Below are 25319 nucleotides of genomic sequence, written 5' to 3'. Positions count from 1 at the left end.
CTGCAGAGTTAGTCAAGTATTGTTATATAGCAAACACCTCTATACCTATATCCAACCCCAGAACACTGCCAGCATGTCAGAACTCCTGACTCAGCCACGCTGGTCCCAGAGCCTCCCCTACCAGCAGGTAACCTCCATTCAACCAACAGGGGAGCCACTCCTGCCCTCAGTCAGTCTCAGCACCCATGCACACTCACAAACAGTACCTTCCGGCCGGGCGCAATGGTTCATGCCTGTAATCCCAGCCCTTTGGGAGGCTGAGACAGGAGGATCACTTGAGGCCAGGAGTTCAAGACCAGTCTGGCCAACATGGCAAAACCCCCTCATTAAAAATACAAAAATTAGCCAGGCATGGTGGCACGCACCTGTAGTCCCAGGTACACAGGAGGCTGTGGCAGGAGAATTGCTTGAACCCGGGAGGCAGAGGCTGCAGTGAACTAGGATCCTGCCACCACACTCCAGTCTGGGTGACAGAGCAAGACTACGTCTCAAAAAAAAAAAAACAAAAACAAACAAAAAACCTTCTAATATGGCCTCTTAACTTTATATAATTGAGTCAAACGTTATAGATTCTTTGCCCTATTCCTTCTTTCAACTAACATCATTTTTATAACATTCATCCTGCAAGTAACTGTTTTCATCTAGTTTTAAAATGTAACCAGAGATTGTTGCCTGGACCATCGGGTTATAGGCATTTCTCCATGGTGGGGAAAAAATTTCGGTAAGCTATTTAGAAGCTGGGCTTTTATTATTTTTTTAGGGACAGAGTCTGGTTCAATCACCCAGGCTGGAGTGCAGTAGCGCAATCATAGCTCACCACAGACTTGAACTCCTGGCTTCAAGTGATGCTCTGACCTCAGCTTCCCAAAGTCCTGTGATTACAGGCATGAGCCACCACACCTGACCTAAGTAGTATTATTCATAGATTTATAGAATTTTTTCTATTTTTTTTTTTTTTGAGACAGGCTCTCGCTCTGTAGCCCAGGCTGAAGTGCAACAGCGCCATCATGGCTCACTGCAGCCTTGGCCTCCAAGGCTTGAGCAATCCTCCCACTTCAGCCTCTCGAGTAGCTGGGACTACAGGCGTGCACCACCATGCCCAGCTAATTATATTTTTTTTTAATTTTTTTTTTGTAGAGACGAATTATATTTTTTATTTTTTCTCACTATGTTGTCAGGCTGGTCTTGAACACTTGGTCTCAAGCCAAGTGTCCTCTTGCCTTGGCCTCCCAAAGTGTAGGGATTACAGGTGTCAGCCACCACACTCAGCCTAATTTCATTTTTAAAGTAAAATTTACTGCTTTTTTTTTAAATACTGAGGGAGCACGCACATAATCTCATTGCTCAAATCATATCTCTAAGCCAGGGGTCGGCAAACTAAGCCATGGGCCAAATCTAGCCCACCACCTGTTTTTGGATGGCCTCCAAACTAACAGTGGGTTTTACATTTTTAAATGATTTTTTTAAATCAAAAGAAAATACTTTGTGACACATGAAAACTGTACAGTATAAATTCAAATTTCAAGATCCATAAATAAAGTTTTATTGGAACACAACAGTGCACACTTTGTGTGTCATCCACAGTGGCTTCCACACAACCATGTCAGAGCTGAGTGGCTACAACAGAGGAGCTCTGGCCTGTAAGACTATGGGCCTGCTCTGAACGTTGCAGTAGAACTAAAGCTAGAGAGAACCCACCGCCTGGCCAGCTGAACAGGGAATTTAGAAAGCAATACCAGAGTTCCATAGCTGCCGAAGTACTCTTCATCCTGCCACGTGTCCTCGGGGTCGTACTCATCCACGTGCTTCCCCACATGGTTTGCCGGAATGTACCCACAGCAGCCCGCACGCTCACCCCACCACCAATCTGCAGTGGTTTGTCTCAGGATAAGAATTTTTTCTCCTCTCAAAAAACTGAGCTGGAAAAAAAAAAGTTAAAATTCAATAAGAAAACCAGTCATTGGTATTTCAAATGTGGCTCAGTGATAAATCCCATCAATGGTGACAAAATCACAGAGATTTCAAACAGGAGTCAGTGGGTAATGACAGCAACTGAGAATGTTTGCAAGTGACACCATGACTTAGCGATGCCTCTGGAACATCTACCTGAAAGGAGGGCACAGCTTAACAGATATTTTTTAAAAGAAGGAGTAAACATTTTCAAATGGCTTAGGAGAGAATTTCTCAACAGCCTCTTCATTGTAACTCAACTATGCCAACTGAGTTACTGGAGGCTGACTCTAAGAAATTCCTGTCACAAAGTAAACAAAGCTATGTCCAAGCAGATATAGCTTGATATATTTGGTAGCCTTACTTTTCATTAACTGGGTGGGTTCTACATTCCAAGTAGAAACCAGAACAGGTGCTTCTGCCCCTGGCTGAGGGTCCCCACTCCATGCCTCGTATCTTTACATCATGCTTGAGGCAGAACTGGCTGGGCTGTGAGCTTCACACACAGGTCTTGTGTGGCCCTACGCATCTGAATACCTCTTCATTTAACTTTGGTGTGACGTCTGCAAAATTTATCTCCTTTTGACACTGAACATGCTGAAAGCCATAAAGCATTAACCACCACGTGTGGCTACCTGGGTCTCATCGGTGGCAGCGTAGTCCGCGATGGCCACAAACTCCTCTGGCTGTACTCCCTCCTGCAGGAGACCGGCCTCACTGCACTCAGCAGGCTCTTCTCCCTGCTCAAAGCCAAGGAAAGCGTGAGGAGAGGACGCTGGAGCTTTTTTTTTTTTTTTTTGGCTATATTATTAGGATGGTTTCAAATTTCAAATACAGATTCATGTGTCCAAGTATTTATTATACAAACTATTTGGATCATCTTTACTACTATAATCAAAGGCTGTCACCTTCACTCTACATTTCTTTTCTAAAAAAAAAAATTATCTGGACCCTAAAAGAGAACATCAAAGCAAGAAGTCAGAAACAGGCACCACTAGTGTCTATTTGGTGAGGAGCCCTTGTCCTTCATCAGCTTTGCTTCCTGAAGGTGATCATCAACCCCATGAAGAGAAACCAGTGTGAGGACAGAGCCAGGGGCCCAGCGCCCCAGGCAGGCACAGCCAGGGGCCTGTGGAAAGAGCTGATGGCATGGCACAAACCTCCACGAGGCAGCAGAGCCCAGCTTGGACCCACACAGGTCCTTGGAGCCTCCCCCAACCCCTCCATTTTTTTTTTTTTTTTTTTTTTGAGACAGAGTCTTGCTCTGTTGCCCAGGCTGGAGGGCAATGGCATGATCTCGGCTCAGGGCAACCTCTGCCGCCTCCCAGGTTCAAGTGATTCTGATGCCTCAGCCTCCCAAGTAGCTGGGACAACAGGTGTGCACCACTACACCCAGCTAATTTTTTGTATTTTTAGTAGAGATGGGGTTTCACCATGTTGCCCAGGTTGGCCTCGAAATCCTCAGCTCAGGCAATCCACCTGCCTCATCCTCCCAAAGTGCTAGGACTACAGGCATGAGCCACCATGCCTGGCCGTTCACTTTATATAAGAATAAGCTTGCCTGGAAGACATCACTGCAGGGGGCAGAACCTCAGATCACACACTCCAGTTCAATGAATCAACCTTGTCTCAATACATACATTTTAAACACATTTTCCTAAACATAAAAGTAATTCGTGTTTACTTTAGAAAATGTGTGAAAACACCAAGTACACAGAAGAAAATTAAAACCTCCTGTAATTTTGCTCACTGATCACAGATAATAACAGACAGCACATTGGTGTTTATACTTTCAGACTTTTAAAAAAGTGGACACGTAACATAAGTACAAAGCATTCACTGGGTTCACACAATAAGCCTGTGGCCTATGGTTTTCACTTTATAAACTCTGAACATTTTTCTTATTAAATATACTTCTAACACTATTTAATATCCAGTCTATGAATTATCAGGACTTACCTATCCAGTTTCCTAGTCTTGTACATTTAGACTTTTCAGTTTTTACTATTCTAAATCATGTTAAGATGAACTTCTTTCAACATAAATCATTCTGTATGTACCTTAATCTTCTTAGGGTAAGTCTCTGAATGTGAACCTGATGGACTGAGACTATGTGGCTTTTGGTTTTACCACCCAGTGCTCTCCAGAAAGGTGTTCCCTGGACCGCTTGCTGAGAGGGAACCACCAATCTTCCCACACTCTCACTCAATAGATACCAATCACTTTAGTCTCTGTCAATTTCATGGGTAAAAATCACTGTTGTTACTTCCATTTCCCTCTCTTTGTGTGGTTAGGCGTTTTTAAAATACTTGCTGGCATCTTTTTTTACCTTACTGTCTATTTGTACCCTTCGTGCTTTTCCCTATGCCAGGAGCATGACTCACTCTAAGGCAGCACTGCCCTCTGCTTGCTCTCCACCCCATCCCCGATCCACCCAGCCCAGGCAACCCTTACTAACCCCCCGGTGTGCGGCCTTCCACACCTCCACCATGCCCATGTCACACACAAAGCCCTGTGTACACGTATACACACACACACACACACACACACACACAGGCTGTTTCTTTGTTTGGCTTTTTTTTTAGGATGGAGTCTCGCTCTGTCGCCTAGGCTGGAGTGCAGTGGCACAATCTCGGCTCACTGCAACCTCCACCTCCCCAGTTCAAGCAATTCGCATGCCTCAGCCTCCCGAGAGGCTGGGACTACAGGCGTGTGTCACTACGCCCGGCTAATTTTTGCATTTTTGGTAGAAATGGATGGGGTTTCATCATGTTGGCCAGGCTGGTCTCGAACTCCCCACTTCAAGTGATCTGCCCACCTGAGCTTCCCAAAGTGCTGGCATCACAGGCGTGGGCCACCACGCCTGACCTGCACTTTGCTTTTCTTACACAATACCTTCTGGAAAAACTCTCCAACTGTTAGAACCCTGATTTACTACCTTCAATGGCTATACGATATTCCATAGCAGGAATTCCGCTTGATTCTTCAGCCATCCCCCTTTGATAGACTTTGTCTTGGTATCCAGTTTTCTACCACCATAACCGATGCTGCAATAAAAGAAGTCTGTGCACAGACAAGCTTATGTGATGACATTTTATTTCTGCAGGATAGAATGCCAGGGTTGAAGAATACGCTTTTTTTTTTTTTTTTTGAGATGAGGTCACCCTCTGTCACCCAGGCTAGAGTGCAGTGGCATGATCCTGGCTCATGGCAACCTCCACCTCCCAAGCTAAAGCAATCCTCCTACCTCAGCCTCTCAAGTAGCTGGGACTACTCTTGGTACAATATAGATACTATTTCACATCTCAAGAAATTGTTTTACAAACATATTGTTTTCCCAGTTATCTTGTTTATGATCAGCGCCTCAAGAGTCAGGTCAACAGAAATTTTCCAAACTGAAGCACAAAATGAAAAAAAAAATAAGAATAGAGCATGAGACATGTCAAACAGCAGCAAAAATTCTAACTTATGTTTACATGGAGACCCCAAAAAAGAAGACAGAAGATGAGGCAGAAAAAAATAAATGAAGAGATAATGGTGGAGATTTTTCCAAAATTAAAAAAAAAAAACCATCAAGGCCAAGGTGGGCAGATCACCTGAGATCAGAAGTTTGAGACCAGCCTGGCCAAGATGGTGAAACCCCGTCTCTACTAAAAATACAAAAAATTAGCCGGGCGTGGTGGTGGTCACCTGTAGTCCCAGCTACTCGGGAGGCTGAGGCAGGAGAATGGTGTGAACCCAGGAGGCGGAGCTTGCAGTGAGCCGAGATCGCATCACTGCACTCCAGCCTGGGCGACAGAGCGAGACTCCGTCTCAAAAAAAAAAAAAAAAAAAAATGTAGGCAAAACACATTTCATAGTTTGACACAGCAGACTCACACTAGTAAATATAAACATAAAGTTGTCAGGTTGAAGGGAAATGATCCTACATGAAAACACAGAATGCAAGAAAAAGGGAAAGACCTCAAAAAAGGCAAATAATATGTGGGGAAACATAAAAAAGACTATTTATTTTACTTCATAAAAAAAGACTCGATAGCGTAAAGCAATAATGATAATTTATTGTGGCGTTTACAACATATGTAAAATTAAAATGTTACATCAACAGTACAAAAATATGGACGCTGGTAAATGAAACTAACTTCTAAGATCTTTACCTTATGAAGTAGTTAAAAAAAAGACTGAAATTGAATTAGGATGCATACTGCAATTTCTTGGGAAAACACTAAAACAATATAAAAAGATACAGCTAACAAGCTATTAAAGGAGGTAATATGGAATTATAGAAAATCCTTTATTTATCCACAAGAGGGCAGGAATGGAGACATGCAGGAAAAAGAAATGTGACAAACATAAAACAAACAGCAAAATGTTACACTTCATCACATTCGTCATAACATGAAGTGTTAATAGACTAAATACTCCAATTAAGAGGCAGAAATTGTGTTTAACAGAGAAACAAAAAAACAGACCTAAGAGCTAGACCCAACTAGCTCTTTACGAGAAAAACGCTTTAAATATAAGGACTTAAGTTGAGGGAAAAAAAATACACACACACACACACACAAACACACACACACACACACTTTATGTAAGCACTAATGATAAAAAAAAAAAGCTGGTACAGCTATATTAGCATTAAAAAAAAGGTACACGCAAGAAAAGAAGTATTTATTAACAGGTAAAAAGACAGATGTTTTATAAAAAATAAGGTCAATTAATCTAGAAAACAAAACCTATACTAAATATATACACCCAATAACAGGGACTCAAAATATACAAAGCAAAAAGTGATAGAACCAAAAGGAAAAATAGATATATCTACAATCATAGTGGAGAATTTTTAGTAACTGATAGAAGATGGCAAAAAAAATCAGAAAAGATATAGAGATTTCAACAATACTAATAACACATTTGATCTTCATGACATTTATAGAATGCTACACTCAACAACTGCAGAATACATAGTCTTTGCAAGTACTCATGGAACACTCACCAACATATTCCATATGATTAGAACATAAAGCAAGCCTGAATAAATTTCAAAAGACTGAAATTATAGAGGATGTTATGTTCTCTAACCAATGTAATCAAAGCAAAATTAAATAAGAAAAAGTAAAATTTCCAATATGTTTAGAAATTGGTCAACATACTTTCAAATAGCCCAGAAAACTTCTAATTTCCATTGAATATATTAGAAAATATTTTGAAGAATGAAAATGCATTTAAATATGTGAGGTACAGCTACAGCAGTGATTAGAGGAAAGTCATAGCTTTAAAGACTATTAAAGAAAGGTTTAAAATCAATTATCTAAGCTTCCCTCTCAGATGTTATAAAAATTAACCCAAATACAACAGAATGAAATAAAGACAAAAGCAGAAATCAATGAAATAGAAAAACAGAGAAATCAACACAGATAAAATTGGTTCTTTATAAAAATAAAATTGATAAAACCCTAAGAAAAGATTGATCAAGTGTGAAAAAAAGAGATAAAACACAAATTACCATTATAAGACATCTCTTCTATAATGGAGGGTGGTATTAACAGGATGAACACAAGTATTACTGAAATACTACCATGACCAGTCAGCAAAATTGAAATAACAAAATACCATTTCTAACCCATGAGACTGACCAAAACTTAAAAGTCTGATACTGTCAAGTGTTAGTAAGCACTATTGTGGGCTACTGACAGACCTGTGAACTCGTAAAGTCATTGTGGGGAACAACTGATCATTATCCAGTAAAACTGAAACTTGCAATCCCTTGCACCCTGCAATGCCATTACTGGAGCACAGAGGCATGGAGACGGATGGTCACTACAGCATTGTTTGAAATAGAAAAAACTAGAAACAATTTAAGTGTCCAACAAAAAGGGAATAAGTAAAATGGGGTATATGCCTACTGTGTAGCAGTGAGACTGCAACAGGCCCATACACATATCTACAAATAGGATACTTTACACTTTCAGAGAAGGAACACACTACAGGAGTACCCTACAGTGGCAGGATTGAACCAGCATTACACACATAACAAGGACAACTTCCCCAAAGGTAAAGTTATATGAAGAGGCAAGCTACAGGTGACACTGACAGTATGACACCACTATGGAAACTCTAAAAAGCCCACACAAACAATATCATATGTCATTCAAGTATATCTATATAAGCCATAGAGGTATAAAAATGGTGCAGTGGCACAAAACAGACTCATGATTCACAGTAGTGTTTGCCTCTAGAGAGAGAAGAGGAGGAATAGGACTGAGACTGGGGAACAAACTTTATCTAGAGTGTCGCTTTTTCTTTTTTAAGAGATGAAGTCTCAGTTTATTGGCCGTGCTGGAATGCAGTGGCTATTCACAGGCACAATCATAATACACCACATCCTCAAACTCCCGGCCCCAAGTGATTCTCCTGCTTCAGCCTCCTGAGTAGCTGAACTACAGACACACCCGACAGTATTTTTTACATATACATATATATATACACACACACACACACATATATGTATATACACACACATATATATAGCTTAATGTACACTGTTTAATGTACTTGATGTTTACAATATCATTCTGGAAATGTCCTAATATTTGTTAAATTTCTCAAAAGAAAAATAAGATGTCCACGGAATTAAAACATTTTATGAATAATTAAAGAAATTAACGAAAGATTCTGACTATAAATAAAATTCCTATATATAAAAAGCCAAATGAAAGCTCATTGGAATGAAAGAGAAAAAAAGAAAACATTAAAATTGACATAACAGATACGGAAATGCTTGATTTTTAAAAACAGTATCTATTATTCAGTTGGTGACTTTTACATAATCAACAGTCTTTACAATTTGAGGGGTATTTTTTACTGCTAACTTGAACGAAACTACATGAGTACCCCAGGCAGAAACAGTATGAATACATAAATCTTTTCTAATGTGTCCAACTTGCCTTCAATATATTGCTGGTATTATGCCTGAAATTTTATTGAACAGCTCAGAAAATATGCTTGCTTTGCCAGTTCACGTACCAAAAATGGAACCCTAAATGATGCTGATGTTTTGGGGCTAAGTATTTCCTTAGAATTGTTATGGTGCCCAATGCAGGATGTCACCTTACAGGCACTGCGTTTCCTCTGCCTCACAATCTTCACATTTAAGCATTCTACTGCCGGTGGCCACCTTCCAAGGCACAAGCCAAGCTCCATCACATCTGTGAGCTGACGCTTAGCTCTCTGTAATGCTCACATTCATTAAACACAGATTTTTAGGAAGTGGAACGGAAATTACCTGCGATTCACTTCTGGGACAGTCACCTGATGTTGCCATAGTTCTCTTAGGCTCTGCCTCATAACTGCTGATTTATTTCATTTTCTTTTCCATTTCTACTTTTAAAAAGAGAAGGAGACACAAAGTACTTGTTACATTGCTTAATAATTGAGTTCACTTAACTTCTAATGTGCATGATGTCCTCTACCAAATAGAAGTAAAATGTGTATGTGTGAAGATTAGTGTAGAAATGAAAATTTACAATACTTTACAGAGACAAAAGCATTTAAAAATCATAAACTTCAAATAGTGTGTTTTCTTCACTAGTCTGCAAGGTGTTAATCTTGTTCATTTGCTGAAGCCTGTTAGTTTCTGTTAGATCAGGTGTCGACTTAAGGCAATAAATCAGTATTCATTAATTTCTTAGAAGTGTGATAGCTTTAATTCCAATTAAAAGTCCCTACCTGGGACCTTACAGTGTTTCCACTAACAGGAACCAAGGTCTGCATCTTCCAGTCTTTTCCTTCTTCTCAATTCGTATTTTTCCAGTGATAGTGTAATCCACACACTGCTCTGGGATCAATGTGTTTTTAAAATTGCATAGCAATTCTTTGTTTAAAATGCATGCTTCACTTCTAAATCCAGACTTGAAGCTTATTTTTGTGATATTCGTAGTTACAAATGCTTACTGATTTGCATAATTATATTTTCATTGGAAGACCTGGGTCCAAACTGGGACGGGGTCGGAGTGGAGGCCGCAGTGCGCGCAGGACCCTGCCCTCCTAAGATGCCCTCGGGAGGAACAGGATCATGGAGGGTTGGAACAGGTGGCCAGTGAAGGGGGGTGAGAAGGGGGCAGGAAGCGAGAGGGCCACGCGTGGACGCAGGGGCACGAGAGGGTCAGGCTGGGACAGCGCCGCGAGCTTCGGGGCAGGGGCCGCCAGGCAGGTGGGCGTGGCCGCGAAGGGCGTGACAGAGATGGTGGTGGGGTGGGCGTGGCCGTAGAAGGCGCTGGACGGCGGGAGTGGCCGGGAAGGGGTGCGGCACGCAGGGAAGGGTGTGACGGGGACCGAGCTCCCGTTTGGACGCCAGGGAAAGTGGCTGAGATCGCGAAGGCGCTCGGAGGTCCCAAAAGGGGGCGGAGGCCTCTGTCCGCCAGCGACGCACACGCAGTGCGAGGACGCCTCACCTGGCCTGTCCTTCCTTACGTGCAGTCCAGCCATCTGAGCTGCCCATCAGGACACCTACCTCAATCGCGTTTCTCCGCTGAGTTCCGCGTCCACACCGCCAGCGCGGAGGGGTGGACGGTCCTTTCCAGGAGCCTGAGCCACCGCCCTCAACCCGCGCAAGCGCAGTGCACGCAGGCCGTCAGCCGGGAAGGCCCCGCCCAGGGCCCGGCGCCCCGCGCAGGCGCAGTCCTAAGACGTCCCCCATTCCAGGGAAGCCAAGCCACCGCCCTCGACTTGCGCCGGCGCGTCGCTCACAGATCGTCTGCAGCTGGGGCTGCGCCCCGCGCAGGCGCACTTCACATCTGCGCGTCCCGCGGTCTTGCGAGGCGAGGCCAGGTTCTCCATGTGTGGAGCTCGTCCCCAATCGCCCAGCCCAGCCGCGGGGTTGGGGGGCTCGGCTTGGGGTCCGACCCAGAGGGGCGCGGGGCAGGAGTCCGACCTGGGGCGGGGGGCGGGTTTGGGCCATTCACGGCTTGGGAAGCGACAACCCCTACGAGCCACAAAATGGCTGGGGCTTGGGGGACCCCCCACCTCCTCTGTCTTCCCGCAAATAATTCAGTTAACTTTCCCATCCGCGCTGCGCAGTGTGCGCCCTCTGCCTTTCTTCTGGATAAGTGGAAGCAGAATGATGACGTTTCTGTTGTGGGGAGAGGAAGTTTGGGGTTAAGGAGAAATGGGTGGCGCTAATGCCTGTAAAACATAAAATTCGAAGCCCCCCCTCCCCCGCAGCCGTCTGACTGGACTCCCTCCTTTACCAGGGGACCCTGAAGTTCAACCTGAGAGACTATTCTGGCCTCGAAGGGAAGTAAGAGTTGGACATGCCTTTTTACACTCCTCCAGCATTAACATCAAGGCAGACCTTAAGTCTGATTTAAAAAAAAAAATGTGGAAGGAAAATAAATTTGGGGGCCGCAAAATCATTAAGCTTAAAAGGAAAAGTCAAGTTGGGAACTGCTTAGGGCAAACCTGCCTCCCATTCTGTTCAAAGTCATCTCTCAGCTCACTGAGATAAATGCGTATCTGATTGCCACCTCTGGAGAGGCTAACCAGAAACTCAAGGGAATGCAATGATTTGTCTCATATTTACCTATGACCTGGAAGCTCCCTCCTGCCTTTGCTTTGAGTTGTCCCGCCCTTCCGGACCAAACCAATGTTCATCTTACATATATTGATTGATGTCTCATGTCTCCCTAAAACGTATAAAACCAAACTGTGCTCTGACCACCTTGGGCACATGTCATCAGGGCCTCCGACGGCCGTGTCATGGGCGTGCATCCTTAAATTCAGCAAAATAAACTTCCTAAGTTGACTGAGATCTGACTCAGATATTCAAGGTTCACATTTTGGTAACCACAAAGGGATTCTGAGTAGAGGTGCCACTGACCTTTGACAAATCTGTCAGTCCTTAGTACCAGCTTGAGCTATCTTTATGGCTCAAACCAATAGGACAATTTGCTGAGGCCTGGAAGCACCCCCTCCAGAGAATCCCTGATCTACCCAGATTTAGTCAAGATCTAGTTTATTTTGCTGTACAACTCCTTTTGTGTGTTGGGCGGGGGTTGGGGGGCGGGGTGTGCTTTACTCTCTTCCAACATAAGGAAGTAGTAGTTTTTTCCTGCTTCCATGACAATGGAAGGCAGGTAACTCGTTTATGGAGTTTGAGCTCGCTTCCCACAGGAAAGATGAGGGGTTTTCTTCCTCTGCTTCTAGGGTGGTAGAGAGCAATCTTCAGCCTCAGACCCATCCCTAGGAAGTAACTGAATTGGGGTTTGTCTTGGCTATTAAGATTAACAACCAGCTGGTCTTAATTTCTCCTTACCATTAGTGTGCTCAGTAACCTTATAAATTGCCCAATCCTTCGTTTCGCTTAACTGGTTTTTTTGTTGTTGTTTCTGTTTTTTGTTCTTTTGTCTTTTTCGCATTGAGTTTGACGAACTCTATCTGACTTGATCGAAACCAAAGGAAAGTTCCAAATTATGAGAAGTGAGGCCTCTGAAGTGGCTAAGTTTCAACCCCTCCCCACCACACACACACACACAAAAGGTGATGTGGTGGGGGGAGAAAAACAGCTAGCAAAAGGAAAAAGAAAAAAAAAATTTATTTTGACTACTTAAAGGGCTTTTCTTACATAACAAGGCCACATTTTTGCTAGCCAGACCAACCAAAAAGAGTAATGTCTGTCACCCCACACTGCAGTTCCATACCTAAGGGTTCTGCCTTCTTTTTTTCCACCACCACAGCCTGGGTTTAGTTCCTAAATTAAGCCCTTTCTGGTTTGATACTTGGTACTTCTGAAATAGCAGCAATTAGTCCTAGCTGAAATATGATAATGAGATTTATTTATTTATTTAGACAGAGTCTGGCTCTGTGTTCCAGGCTGGGGTGCAGTGGCACAATCTCAGCTCACTGCAACCTCCACCTCCCAGGTTCAAGTGATTCCCATGCCTTAGCCTCCTGAGTAGCTGGCATTATAGGCCTGCACCACCACACCCAGCTCATTTTTGTATTTTTTTGGTAGAGATGGGGTTTCACCATGTTGGCCAGGCTGGTCTCAAACTGGCCTCAAGTGATCCGCCTACCTCGGCCTCCCAAAGTGTTGGGATTACAGGCATGAGCCACCATGCCCAGCCAGTAATGAGATTGAAAAAGTTTATTTTTAAGGAGCTCAATGGTTAAAAGCTTAATTAAAAGCTAACATCCAACATATGTGTGTTGTGTGCCTGTGTGTGTGTGTTTGTATTTAAAAGGCTTCCAGTTTTGTTTTTTTTGTTTTTTTCTCTCCTAGGACCTTGTCTTTTTGAGCAAAAGTTTTTTTCTTCTTAGTTGACTGGCTTCTGTTTTCTTCATTTACTTTTGTCGTGTCTTCTTTCTCTTGCACCCTCTGCTTCATGGGAAACCTAATATAGTTTGTAATACCCAGGGTTCCTTACAGAAAACGGAGAAGGTGCCAGATTCCCCTTGGAGGAGAAACCTCTGTTTCCTTATGGAACCCCAAATGTGTAAACAGACAAGTTCATCTCAGCTTTTTTTTTTTTTCATCTCAGCTCTTAAACTGCTTGCTTTTGTATTGTGTTACCTAATTTTTTTACTAAAATAGTTACTGCAACAGAGGCTACTCTGGAGTTCTTAAGGAATAGTATAGTTTAGACATGTAGAAATGTCTTTGTTGAAAAAAGTTTTTTAAGTGCACTGTAAAAGCATGATGTAGTCTAACCTCATAATAATTTTCGCTTTTTGGAGACCCAGGATTCAGTGTAGGGTCTGCCCAGAGCTCAGAGATCCAGTTAAAATATAGGGAGTCTCTGTCTAAATAAAACTGGTCTCCTTATACAATCCTATGATAGATTTTCATAATTTTATGTTTGATTTCACATCCATTTTTAATCTCTCTTTAGCACCACCAGACTTTTTCCTCTCTGTACCTTAAAATGTAAATTTTGCTATCTAATTTTTCATCTAATAGTTTCCTTTAATATGCAGATTTAGGGCTATTTAGCCGGCAACTGCCAGGGCAATGACACAGATGATCAAGAGTTTGCAAGTCTAAGATAGAAAAAAAAAAAGAGGTCTTAGGAATCTATAAGATGTACTTCTATCGGTATACCTAATACATCTATGTATTTATGTGTTGCGTACACAATGTTTCTCTATTAAAAAATATAGAAGAGCTATAATTAATTGGCTTAAAGAAAAATAAAAGTGCTCAAATAAATTATTTATTTATTAATTAAAGAAAAATAAAAGTGCTCAAATAAAATACTTTATTAGAAAAAGGGAAAGACTAGTCAAATGTTAAGTTTACTTAAAATCTTTAATAAATAAGTTAGCTTTAAAAATAGTGGCAAAGTAATTTAGAAATGTCTTAAGAATTGCCAGCATACATTTTTGTTTGCATTTATTTATCAAGCAATTTCCTACTTATCCCTGCCAATTACTATAAGGTGTCAACATTTGGCATAGGGGTTACAAAACTATAAACCCAGCCCCAAATGGAAGAACATAAATGGCCTGATGGAGCTGAAAAACACAGCACGAGAACTTCATGAAGCATACACAAATATCAATAGCCAAATCAATCAGGTAAAAGAAAGGATATCAGAGACTGAAGATCAACTTAATGAAATAAAGTGTGAAGATAAGATTAGAGAAAAAATAATGAAGAGAAATGAACCCTTCTCAAAAGAAGACATTAATGCGGCCAATAAACGTGAAAAAAAACTCTTCATCACTGGTCATTACAGAAATGCAAATCAAAACCACAATGAGATATCATCTCACACCAGTTAGAAAGGTGATCATTAGAAAGTCAGGAAACAACAGATGCTGGAGAGGATGTGGAGAAATAGGAACGCTTTTACGCTGTTAGTGGGAGTGTAAATTAGTTCAACCATTGTGGAAGACAGTGTGGCGATTCCTCAATGATCTAGAACCAGAAATACCATTTGACCCAGCAATCCCATCACTGGGTATATGCCCAAAGGAATATAAATCATTCTACTATGAAGACACATGCACACACGTATGTTTATTGCAGCACTGTTCACAATAGCAAAGACTTGGAACCAACACAAATGCCCATCAGTGATGGACTGGATAAAGAAAATGTGGCACATATACACCATGGAATACTATGCAGCCATAAAAAGGATGAGTTCATGTCCTTTGCAGGGACATGGATGAAACTGGAAACCATCATTCTCAGCAACTAACACAAGAACAGAAAACCAAACACCACATGTTCTCACTCATAAGTGGGAGCTGAACAATTAGAACATGTGGACACAGGGAGGGGAACATCTCACACCAGGACCTGTCAGCGGGTGGGGGGCTAGGGGAGGGATAGTACTAGGAGAAATACCTAATGTAGATGATGGGTTGATGGGTGCAGCAAACCACCATGGCACGTGTATATGTAACAAACCTGCACATTCTGCACATGTATCCCAGAACTTACAGTATAATGATAAAAAAAAAAGAGAAAAATCTGCTGATGTATAATTCTAAGCCTAAGAAGAATAGCCATTACAAAGGAAGTCAAAATAAATTCATTTTCAGATAAACAGAATCTGACTGAAGCAAACATGCACTAAAATGCTAAAAGAAGAACTTCAGGCTAAAATAAGATAATCTCATAACTGCAGGAAGGACAGAAGAGTACTAGAAAGTGTAAATAAATGGATAAATGTATTTTTAACATTTGTCCTTAAATCAACAATAATTGTGACTTGTGAGGTTTATAATGTGTAGAGGTGGAATATATGCCAACAGCCGCACACAGAGCAAGGGGGATAAATAAACAATTGTAACGTGCTGGATCTTTGTTAGGACAAAGCAAAAGTATCCTAATAACTTCAGGCAGGTCAAGAGTGCATAATGAGATCTCAAAAAATACAATGATGTATGACAACAAGCAAAATAGAAGATAAAAGAAAAATAATAAATTTTAAAAATGGAAAAGAAAACAGTAAGAGAGTACTACAGAAATAAAAAACAGACAAGACAAATGAAAAATAAACAGCAGTGCAGCAAACCACCATGGCACGTGTGTACCTATGTAACAAACCTTCACGTTCTAGGCATGTATCCCAGAACTTAAAGTATAATAAAAAATAAAATAAAAATAAACAGCAAGGTGGCAGAATTAAACCCAACTATATTTGTAACAACATTAAATGTAAAGATAGAAAACATGCCTTTTTTTTTTTTTTTTGAGACAGAGTCTAGCCCTGTCACCCAGGCTAAAGTACAGTAGCACAATCTCAGATCACTGCAACCTCTGCTTCCTGGGTTTAAACGATTCTCATGCCTCAGCCTCCCGAGTAGCTGGAATTAAAGCCGTGTGCCACCCTTCCCAGCTAATTTTTTTTTCTGTATATTTAGTAGAGATGAGGTTTCACCATGTTGGTCTGCCTGATCTCGAACTCCTGACCTCAAGTGATCCACCCACCTCAGCCTCCCAAAGTGCTGGGATTACAGGTGTGAGCCACCGTGCCCGGCCAATGCCAATATTTTTAAGTATCTCTTTTAGAGATTTGACTAAATGGTAGTTATAAGAAACATACTTTACTATAAAGAAACATTTAGTTGAAAGTAAAAGAGTGAAACAATACCACACCAACACAAACCATACTGATAGTGTAAAACACAAATCATACTGATATTGTAAAAAGCAGACTTTAATGCAAATGGTATTACCAGAAATAAGAGAATTATTTCATAATGATAAAATGTCAATTCAGTAGAAAGAAATAGCAGCCCCAGATTTGTGTGTCTATAACATACCTTCAAAATATAAAATCCAGAAATTCAAAAATTAATATAACTCAAAGGAGAAACGGAACCATCCATAATTGTAGTTGGGGAATTTAACACACCTGTCACGTAACTCAGAACAAAAAGGCGGAGGACAGAGATTCAAACAGCTCATTTAACCAACATGACACACGTCATGTCGGCATATATCATGAGACTTACATATATACACAAATATATAAAATCAGTATATCCACTTCACCAACCGCTAGCAGAGTGTCTGTTATTTTCAGGTACACGTGGAACATTTACCAAGAAAGCAAAGTAGACTACGGTTTGTCATAAAGCAAAGTTTGGCCAGCTCTGAAGTGGCCCCACTTTCCCTGCCTCCTGGTATCTGTGCCTGCTGCATTGAATCTGCTGATTCAGGATTGCCCCTCCCAATCGATAGGTCGAATGTTGAGATGGATGATGTGACACACCCTAAGAGGGCATGAAAACACCTGTTAGCCATCATGAGTGCTTCTGGGTGCAGCAGCCCAGCACGCAAGCTGGTCTAGAACTGGCTTGAGTGGCTTGGGAAAGGATGGAGGTGGGTAGCCTGGGTTTTCTTGGGGTTAGGGCATAGGGAAAGAGAAGAGCTCATGTGTGCAGGTGGGACTTGCGTGGTTTGAGCTTCCCACTGGCCCCACGGGAAGCCATGTGCACACTTCCTCATCAGACCACCAAGATATGCGGTGGAAGGGCGGCAGGGCTTCAGAGCTGTCAGCAGTCAGCCCCTTATTGACGCCTGCAGTGTCCCCCTACCTTTAGCGGGCGGGACCTTTGATTTGCTTTGAACCATAGAATACCACAAGTGTAATGGGATGTAATGGGATGTCACTTCTGTGATATAAGATTTTGACCTCCATTTTGCAAGGAGACTCTCTTACTAGCTTTGATAAAACAAGTGGCTATTTTGGGGACATTCCCCATGACAAGGACTGAGGGCTGCCTCTAGGAACTCACTGAGGCTGACAGCCAACAGCCAGCAAGAACTAAGGACCTCAGTCCCACAACCTCAAAAAACAATTCTTCCAGTAACCAGGTATAGCTGCTGGTTTTCTAGCTGATGATAGCTGGTTTTCATACAATAGTCTGCTCAGGCGGCCTTAACAAAATACCACAGACTAGGAGGCTTAAACAACAGAAATTTATTTTCTCACAGTTCTGGAGGCTGGAAGTGCATGATCAAGGTGCCAGCAAATTAGATTTCTGGTGAGGGCTCTCTTTCCGGCTCGTAGACAGCCACCTTCTTGCTGTGTCCTCAAACGGCCTTTCCACTGTGTGCATGCAATGAGAGCACTCCAGTATGTGTTCCTCTTCTTATAAGGGCACCAGATTAGGTGCTATCAGATTGGCGACCCACCCTTATGATCTTGTTGAACCTTAATGACCTCCTGTGGAGCCTAAAGCAGCTCCATCTTGGATGCTGATCCTCCGTGTTGGCTTCTGATTGACCCCGGTTCCTGAAATGCCTCTAAGATTTGTATTTTAACTACTGGTCCTTGTGTAAGAGCATGCACTTACCATAAATCCTGCCCTTAGGGCAAAACAATCTTGACATTATCTTACTTACCATGCGGTTATCCTACACATCACCTCTGAAGCATGCATACTCTTCCCCTATGGTCTATAAGCCCTGGGTCTGGGAGGGTAACAATGAGGAGATCCACCCACTTCCCTCGATGCTGCCCAAGACACAGACATAGCTTCTGTTCACAAGTCACTGTTAAATGTTTCTCAGAAACTGATTTGTCAGCCTCTTTCTGAGCCTCCTTGACTTTGGGGGCAGGTTTGCATAGACCTGCTCACCTTGGAATACCTTGCTAAGGGCTCTATCTTCAAATACAGTCACATTGGGGATTGGGTTCAATATATGAATTTGGAGGTAGGGGGCACAATTCAGTCCCTGATATGGTTTGGCTGTGTCCCCACCCAAATCTCATCTTGAATTGTAGTTCCCATAATCCACATGTGTGGTGGGAGGGACCCTGTGGGAGGTCACTGAATCATGGGGGCAGCTACCCCCACACTGTTCTCATGATAGTGAGTGAGTTCTCATGAGATCTGATGGTTTTTAGAAGGGGCTTTTCCTCCTTTGCTCAGCACTTCTCCTTCCTGCCACCCTGTAAAGAAGTTGCCTTTCTTCCCCTTCATCTTTCGCCATGATTGTAAATTTCCTGAGGTCTCCCCAGCCATGAGGAACTGCGAGTCAATTAAACCTCTTTTCTTTATAAACTACCCAGCCTCAGGTGTTTCTTCATAGCAGCATGAGAATGGACTAATATGTAAATAATGTGTGACTAGAGAGTAAGCTGTGGTGTTTTTTTTTCCAATGGCTGTAAATTCTTTGACATCTTCCCATTGAGAAACAGGGTCCGTGTTTGTTCCCCTTGGTCTTGGACTTGTAATGTCTGATGTAACCCCTAGGTCGCGAGGCCTGCAGTGGCTCCCGAGGCAGCTCAGGAAAGGCCATGCAGCTCTCTCAGTCCTCTAGGAATGCAGGCTCTTGGGACACTCCTCAGAACCCAGCCTCTCAGAGACACCATGAACAGTGCTGCAAATGTCAGCTCCAGGTGAGCCCAGCCTTCATGTTCTCTCCTACCTGGTGCTACGTGACCTCGGGATGGTTCTACCGCAGCCGCAGAGCCACAGCTGTTCTGTCTCCCCAGCTGAGGTCCTAGACACTGAGCCACACCAGCACCCTGTGCCAACCGATCATGCCCTGGGAGAAAAATAAAACAGCTGATGCTTTTACGCTATTAGATGGTGGTTTCTTATGCAGCAATAGTAACCAGAACAGAATCAGGTACTTTGAAGTGGGATGCTACCATGACAAAAGCCAAAAAACATTGCGGGTTGGCTGTGGGACTCAGCCCCAGAGAGGAGGCTGGCAGGCATGAGAAGGCAGCTGGCAAGGGACTGAGGAAAAGCAAGGAAATGTTCTGGAAGTGAAGGAAAGAAGGCTCTTGTCATTGAATGACTGGCTTCTTTCACCTGCACATCATGAGAAATGATTAGGGAGAGAGGCACTGGAGAAGGAATGATGGGGTTTTCAAACAGAACTTATAAAGACATGAAGGAGCCAGGATTTGCTGGGCTCAAAAATGAAACTAATTTTCATCCCCAGTTTCTCCCAGCAGAAGATTCTCAAAGAATGAGAGGGCTCAGGGCAAAGTTGGGACCCACAGCCCTGTAGGGAATATGTGGGTTCAGAGCAGACATGAAGCCAAGAGTGGGATTATAAAACCCTCCATTAAGATGCAGAAAGAGTTCAACTGGTGTCTCACCAGCCTTTTCAGAGGCAAAGGGCCTCCCAGGGATGGTACACATGTGCCTCCCAGGCCCCTATTAAGGAGACCTTCTGGGAATCTTAACAGCATTGTTCCACAACAGCCTCACAGGGAGCCCTGAATAGAAAATGGTCTATTTAAAAGAGATCTGCGGTGCAGGTTTTGTCTAATGGAGTGAACATCAATAAAATTTATAGAAAACCCACAAAGTTATTAAAGGAATTGTACTAGAAAAATAAAAGCAGCCTGTGTTTGTGGTTAAGCAGTCTTCTTAGCCTGTAGAAATTCAGGGGCCCACTGGCCTCCTTTCATTTTGTACTATCTGGTTCTTTTAATCCAAGCTGGCTTTTATTTTCTTCTCAGGTGCCTAGAGAATCAGTCCCTGTAGCAACACTGCACCCTAATCACAGACCTGTTGACCTGGGTCAGGTTGGATTTCAGAATCTCTGCAGACTGCCTGCTTTTTGCCTCAGTTTCCCCCTTCTGAGTGGCAGGGGCCAAGGTGTCTGTCCTATCCCCATCCCCATTAGACATAGGGTGAAGAGGTTGGGCCAGGTGCTTGGCTCTTGAGGTCACAAGTCTGTGGATTGAAAAGGAAACACATCGAAGAGGCTGTGCCTGAGGAGCCGTGCCCATGGAGCCTCACCCCGCATGGAGATGGTTAAGTGGTGAGACCTGGAGCTCTGGCTGCCATAATGGCACGAGACCATGGGTGTCTGGGTGAGTCTATTTTGCATGTGTAGGGGGTGCAGCCAGAGGGCAGAATGTGTTTTCCAAAGTTGGTCATAGCAAGGTCTGCAATCCTCCCCACATGCTCTTCTCTTGCCATTTCATCAGGAAGTGGAGTCTGGCTGGGCATGGTGGCTCATGCCTGTAATCCCAACATTTTGGAAGGCTAAGGCAAGTGGATCGCTTGAGGCCAGGAGTTCGAGCAGCCTGGCCAACATGGTGAAACCCCATCTCTACTAAAATTACAAAAATTAGCCAGGCGTGGCGGTGCATGTCTGTAATCCCAGCTACTCAGGAGATGAGTTACAAGAATCACTTGAACCCTAGAGAAGGAGGCTGCAGTGAGCTGAGATTGCACCACTGCACTCCAGTCTGGACAATAGAGCAAGACTCTGTTTCAAAAACAAAAACAAGCAGAGTCCAAGCACCTCCTTGAGTCAGAGCAGGGCATTTCCTCCTGCTCCGATCCACGACAGCAGCATTTCATGTGGTTGGGACTTGGACTCTGGAGGCAGGCCCAGGTTCAAATCCTGGCTTTGACACTGAGTGATACAACCTGAGCCTCAGTTTCCCCCATCATGATGGAGAAACATGCGTTTCCTATGCAGGCTGAGGCTCCGAAGGCTGCTAAGCTCCTTTCCCTGCTAAGGGGAGGTCCTCATTTATGCCATTGCCCAGGTTTCCTTTGCATGTGACTTATCACACGGTGCTCTGGAGCCCTGTCCTTGGAGACTCACACCCCTGTGACCAGGATGGGGTCAGGGCTGTGCTTAATCAGGTGACTGTCCAAGGAGCCCCCTTCCACCTCCAGAGTTCAGAACTCAGTGTCTTACCTTCCTCCCAGGAACCAGAGCACACTGAACACGCAGGGCCTGGCAGGGCACCTGACGGCCAACATGTTGGGGGGCATTGGAGCACACAAATCAACACTCCAGGGGCAGGAGTGGTTGTCACTTGAGTTGCAAAATCTAGGGACCCTAAAAGAGTCCCTGTGAGGCCTGGCTCCTTGGTGTGCTGAGCAACTGACCCATCCCCCACACTCTCCTACCCAAAGAGGCCTCTGGAGCCTTCCTACGGCCAAGGGACCTGGCCAGCCGCACAGGCTGAGGACAGAGCGAGCTCGGCCAGGGCTCCGTGAACAGCTGTCCTTCTGTGGCCATCATCACAGCAGCAGCAAGTTCAGGGTGGGGCATCAGCACGGGGTGTGCGCTCTCTCATCCTGGGCATCTGAGTTTTTCGTTTTAAAAGTTGTGATCACCAAGACGCTGTCCTTGTCTGCCTCTGCATCTCATGGTCCCCGCTGTGGGGAGGCGCGCAGCCAAGTGGGCCTCGCCTGGGGAAGGGAGGTGCATGCATGCGACTCAGGCAAACACGGCCCCTGGGCCTCGTTCCAGGGAGCCCCAAAGGCAGAGTTCAGAAGATTGCAATTAATTTTCTAAATTAATACACAATAACAGATAATTAATTTTAAATGTTGAACTTAATGTTAGTACATATGTTACAGGAATTACATCAAATTATTTGATTTTATTATGGAGTCTGTCTTAAGTTTTAATTCCAAAAATAGTTTATTCCTCCTATGATTTAAATTTTATTTACATTAGCACTCAATAGAACTACTAGATGCTAAATATACCTGTGGATGTATTCCAGTTACACTAAAAATTGAAATATAGTGCCAGGTTATTCACAGTGTTTTTAACTTGAAGTTTGTTTTTCAAAAGCAAAAGAGGTTATTGTTCTGCAGTAGCAAAACTGCTAGGGATTGAGCTTCCAGATTTTTTAAAATTATATTTATATATTTAGACGGAGTTTCATTCTTGTTGCCCAGGCTGGAGTGCAATGGTGCAGTCTCAGCTCACTGCAACCTCTGCCTCCTGGGTTCAAGCAATTCTCCTGCCTTAGCCTCTCCAGCAGCTGGGATTACAGGCACCTGGCTAATTTTTTTTGTATTTTTAGTAGAGATGGGGTTTTACCGTGTTGGCCAGGCTGGTCTTGAACTCCTAACCTCAGGTGATCTGCCCACCTCGGCCTCCCAAAGTGCTAGGATTACAGGCGTGAGCCACTGTGCCCAACCGAGCGTCCAGATTTTAGGTTCTCAGCTTTCCTCTTCTCTCATACGTTTGGTATGTTCTTTATTTAAATCTCTAAAATAAAACAACTCATTTCCACCTCCTGGGTCGTTGCTGTCGAGGTGGTTCAATTCCACGCAGGCATTTTTACAGTCAAGGCGTGAGCATCCTCACTTGTTAAGTAGAGTTTGTTTGTTTGTTTTTCTTTGTTTTTTTGAGACAGAATCTCTGTGACCCAGGCTGGAGTGCAGTAGCAGGATCTCTGCTCACTGCAACCTCCATATCCCGAGTTCAAGGGATCCTCCTGCCTCAGCCTCCCAAGTAGCTGGGACTACAAGCATGCGCCACCACACCTGGCTAATTTTTGTATTTTTAGTAGAGACAGGGTTTCACAATGTTGCCCAGGCTGGTCTCAAACTCCTGACCTCAAGTGATCCGCCCGCCTCAGCCTTCCAAAGTGCTGGGATTACAGATGTGAGTTAAGCAGTTTGAACAATCGATTGATTAGACTTTTGTGGCTGCTCATTTGGGCATGTGGCCGAGTACTGTGCTGTCCTGGCCCACAGCGTCCTACAGGAAGGGACGGGCTGTAAGACGTGGGATCTTCTGAAGTCGTCAAATGAAAAACACTCCTGTTGAGTGAAAAAACAAATAGGCTAATCCTATGATTTTTTAAACATTTAAACCTGACATGATTTTATTGCAAATTTCCAAGAATCCTTAAAAGTTATAAAAAGCATAATCAAAATAAATATCTGTGACAGAGTTCTACAAAAGGGAAAACTCAGTTTTCCTTTTGAGATCTTGCCCCAGCATCAGTTCAAACACTTCCTCTTATATTTCACCAAGACTCAGTTCCTGAGCAAGAAACCACAGGCACAGCAAGTGCCATGAAAAGCGGCTTTGTGTGGGGTGGGCTCTTCACACTCCAATCTCCACTTCCTTCTCAAGGCCTCAAAAAAAGTTGAAAAATGAAAACAAAAGCCCTGCTGTGTTGAGCTGGGCTCTGGCGTTGCCATGGACCCAGGGCAAACAGCGGTGCTCCTGCTCTGCCCCCGGCTCAGCTCATGCTGGGCCTGCACTTCTGGAAGGGAGCATGGACTTTGGAATGACTGGTTAGAACCCAAATGAATTAATGGAATTTGACATAGTTCAAAAATAATAAAATGTGATACCCATGAAATGCTGATATTCTGCCTTAATTTGCCAGATTGGGGGCCTCCTGGATTTAGAGTATTCTAAAGTAGCCAGTAGGTTCACTCTGCCCTTTTAGACCTAATATATCTGGCTCAGAAAGAAGTCTCTGTCCCTCTGCTATTTGCTGTTCTTTGCTTTGCCCAGTCTGACTCCTGCCAGCTCCAGGTTCTGCAGACAAGAACAGTAACTTTTATAATAATAATAATGACTCCCAAGTGAGTGCATTGGGCCCTTCACGTGTGTCTGTATGTGTGCACATGTATGTGCGTGTCAATTTCCTTTACTCCTCCTACAGCCCTCTCAGGGGTGCAGCTTTTTTTCTGTCTTTTACTCAGCCTGAGAAAGGTTGTCGTTTGACAAGGTTTGTTCAGAGGTCGGATCTGAATCCAGCTCCAAGGCCCCAGCACCCAAGCCCTGACCCCATGGCTGCCTGCTGGCTGGGAGTGGCATTCTTTAGAACAGGAAAGGCAGTGAGTTCTCATTGCATCAATACTTGCATTTGCTACAACAGAAGCTTTTTGTCTCTTCCTCACATTCCTTTAGAACACAAGCCTCCTTTTCTGCCTGTGGCCATCGGTCACTGGAGTCAGCCTCGTGAGTGGCTTGGTGGCGGATGGCACCGTCCTTTGTGGGAGAAAACAATGTTGCTGCCCAGGCCTTTCTGGAATGACCCCTTCCCACCCCCTGACCAGCCCCAGCAAGGCCCGGGGCTGGCTGCCTAGTTGATTGGAGCCAAGAGTTTGCTGAATGGATGAAGGGAGAAGGGACATCCAAGTGACTGAAGAAGATCTTAACAGAAGATTGATATATTCAAATAGAGGCCCCTGTTGACCCACAAGCTCCTTCGTGCTCTGGCCTGGGCAGGCAGCACTGTTGCTTGGGAAGGAGAGCCCCTTCCTGTCATGGCAGGTTGTCGTCTGGGAACCTGGAGCTACATCATCTCATTTCCCTCCATCTGCAGAGTAGACAGAGGGTGAACCACATGGGTGCCTTTGGCATTCAAGGTGCGGTAGACTAGACACCATGGGCCTTGAGCCTCCATCACCCCCTCCCAATTACCTCCACAGTTTCACAGGCTGCAATGCCAGGCAGCTCTCCACAACGCCATGACCACGAGTCAAGTGATAGCTCTTGGCTAGTACAGTAATGTCCTGGGCATTCGCAGAGTCATGGCAGCGTTGCTCACAATGGCACCCTTCTTCCCAAGCCAAAGAGTGCATGGTCTCACTCTCCTGGGAAACACCGTGGTGATCGCCCTCCAGCAACCAGCTGCCTGTTGGCACCCTTGTTGT

At 43.8% G+C, this 25319-nt stretch overlaps 1 protein-coding gene across 15 annotated transcripts in view, besides 5 other annotated features; it reads right to left on the bottom strand.

Moving 5' to 3' along the window:
* PRMT2 (protein arginine methyltransferase 2) overlaps positions 1 to 10551 on the bottom strand; it is a 29451-nt gene extending 18900 nt beyond the window's left edge. For 8 of the 15 annotated variants that reach the window (NM_001535.5, NM_001286677.2, NM_001242864.3 and 5 more), the window contains exons 1-4: positions 10462 to 10551; positions 9235 to 9329; positions 2586 to 2690; positions 1737 to 1919 (exon numbers count right to left, since the gene is read on the bottom strand). In NM_001535.5, coding sequence (NP_001526.2) covers positions 1737 to 1919; positions 2586 to 2690; positions 9235 to 9273 — 327 coding nt within the window. In that variant the 5' untranslated portion in view covers positions 9274 to 9329; positions 10462 to 10551. Of the gene's footprint in view, positions 1 to 1736; positions 1920 to 2585; positions 2691 to 9234; positions 9330 to 9677; positions 9787 to 10461 lie in introns of all 15 variants that reach the window. The other 7 variants (NM_206962.4, XM_006723998.5, XM_006724000.4 and 4 more) reach the window with 2 other exon arrangements.
* Positions 4523 to 5023: an enhancer, noted in NCBI's record as "H3K4me1 hESC enhancer chr21:48061114-48061614 (GRCh37/hg19 assembly coordinates)". NCBI's record gives its function as "activates a minimal SCP1, AML or CMV promoter by ChIP-STARR-seq in naive H9 embryonic stem cells {active_cell/tissue: H9 hESC(naive)}" and the evidence as "EXISTENCE:reporter gene assay evidence [ECO:0000049][PMID:30033119]".
* Positions 10133 to 10682: a silencer, noted in NCBI's record as "silent region_13424". NCBI's record gives its function as "represses an Ori minimal core promoter by ATAC-STARR-seq in GM12878 lymphoblastoid cells {active_cell/tissue: GM12878}" and the evidence as "EXISTENCE:reporter gene assay evidence [ECO:0000049][PMID:35858748]".
* Positions 10783 to 11453: an enhancer, noted in NCBI's record as "H3K27ac hESC enhancer chr21:48054684-48055354 (GRCh37/hg19 assembly coordinates)". NCBI's record gives its function as "activates a minimal SCP1, AML or CMV promoter by ChIP-STARR-seq in naive H9 embryonic stem cells {active_cell/tissue: H9 hESC(naive)}" and the evidence as "EXISTENCE:reporter gene assay evidence [ECO:0000049][PMID:30033119]".
* Positions 10793 to 11012: a silencer, noted in NCBI's record as "silent region_13423". NCBI's record gives its function as "represses an Ori minimal core promoter by ATAC-STARR-seq in GM12878 lymphoblastoid cells {active_cell/tissue: GM12878}" and the evidence as "EXISTENCE:reporter gene assay evidence [ECO:0000049][PMID:35858748]".
* Positions 21338 to 21838: an enhancer, noted in NCBI's record as "H3K4me1 hESC enhancer chr21:48044299-48044799 (GRCh37/hg19 assembly coordinates)". NCBI's record gives its function as "activates a minimal SCP1, AML or CMV promoter by ChIP-STARR-seq in naive H9 embryonic stem cells {active_cell/tissue: H9 hESC(naive)}" and the evidence as "EXISTENCE:reporter gene assay evidence [ECO:0000049][PMID:30033119]".

Source organism: Homo sapiens, chromosome 21 (genome assembly GCF_000001405.40).
Source record: "Homo sapiens chromosome 21, GRCh38.p14 Primary Assembly".
NCBI classification, from domain to species: Eukaryota; Metazoa; Chordata; class Mammalia; order Primates; family Hominidae; genus Homo; species Homo sapiens.
The sequence above is the reverse complement of the archived record's forward strand: the minus strand, read 5'-3'. Positions and strand labels throughout refer to the sequence as shown.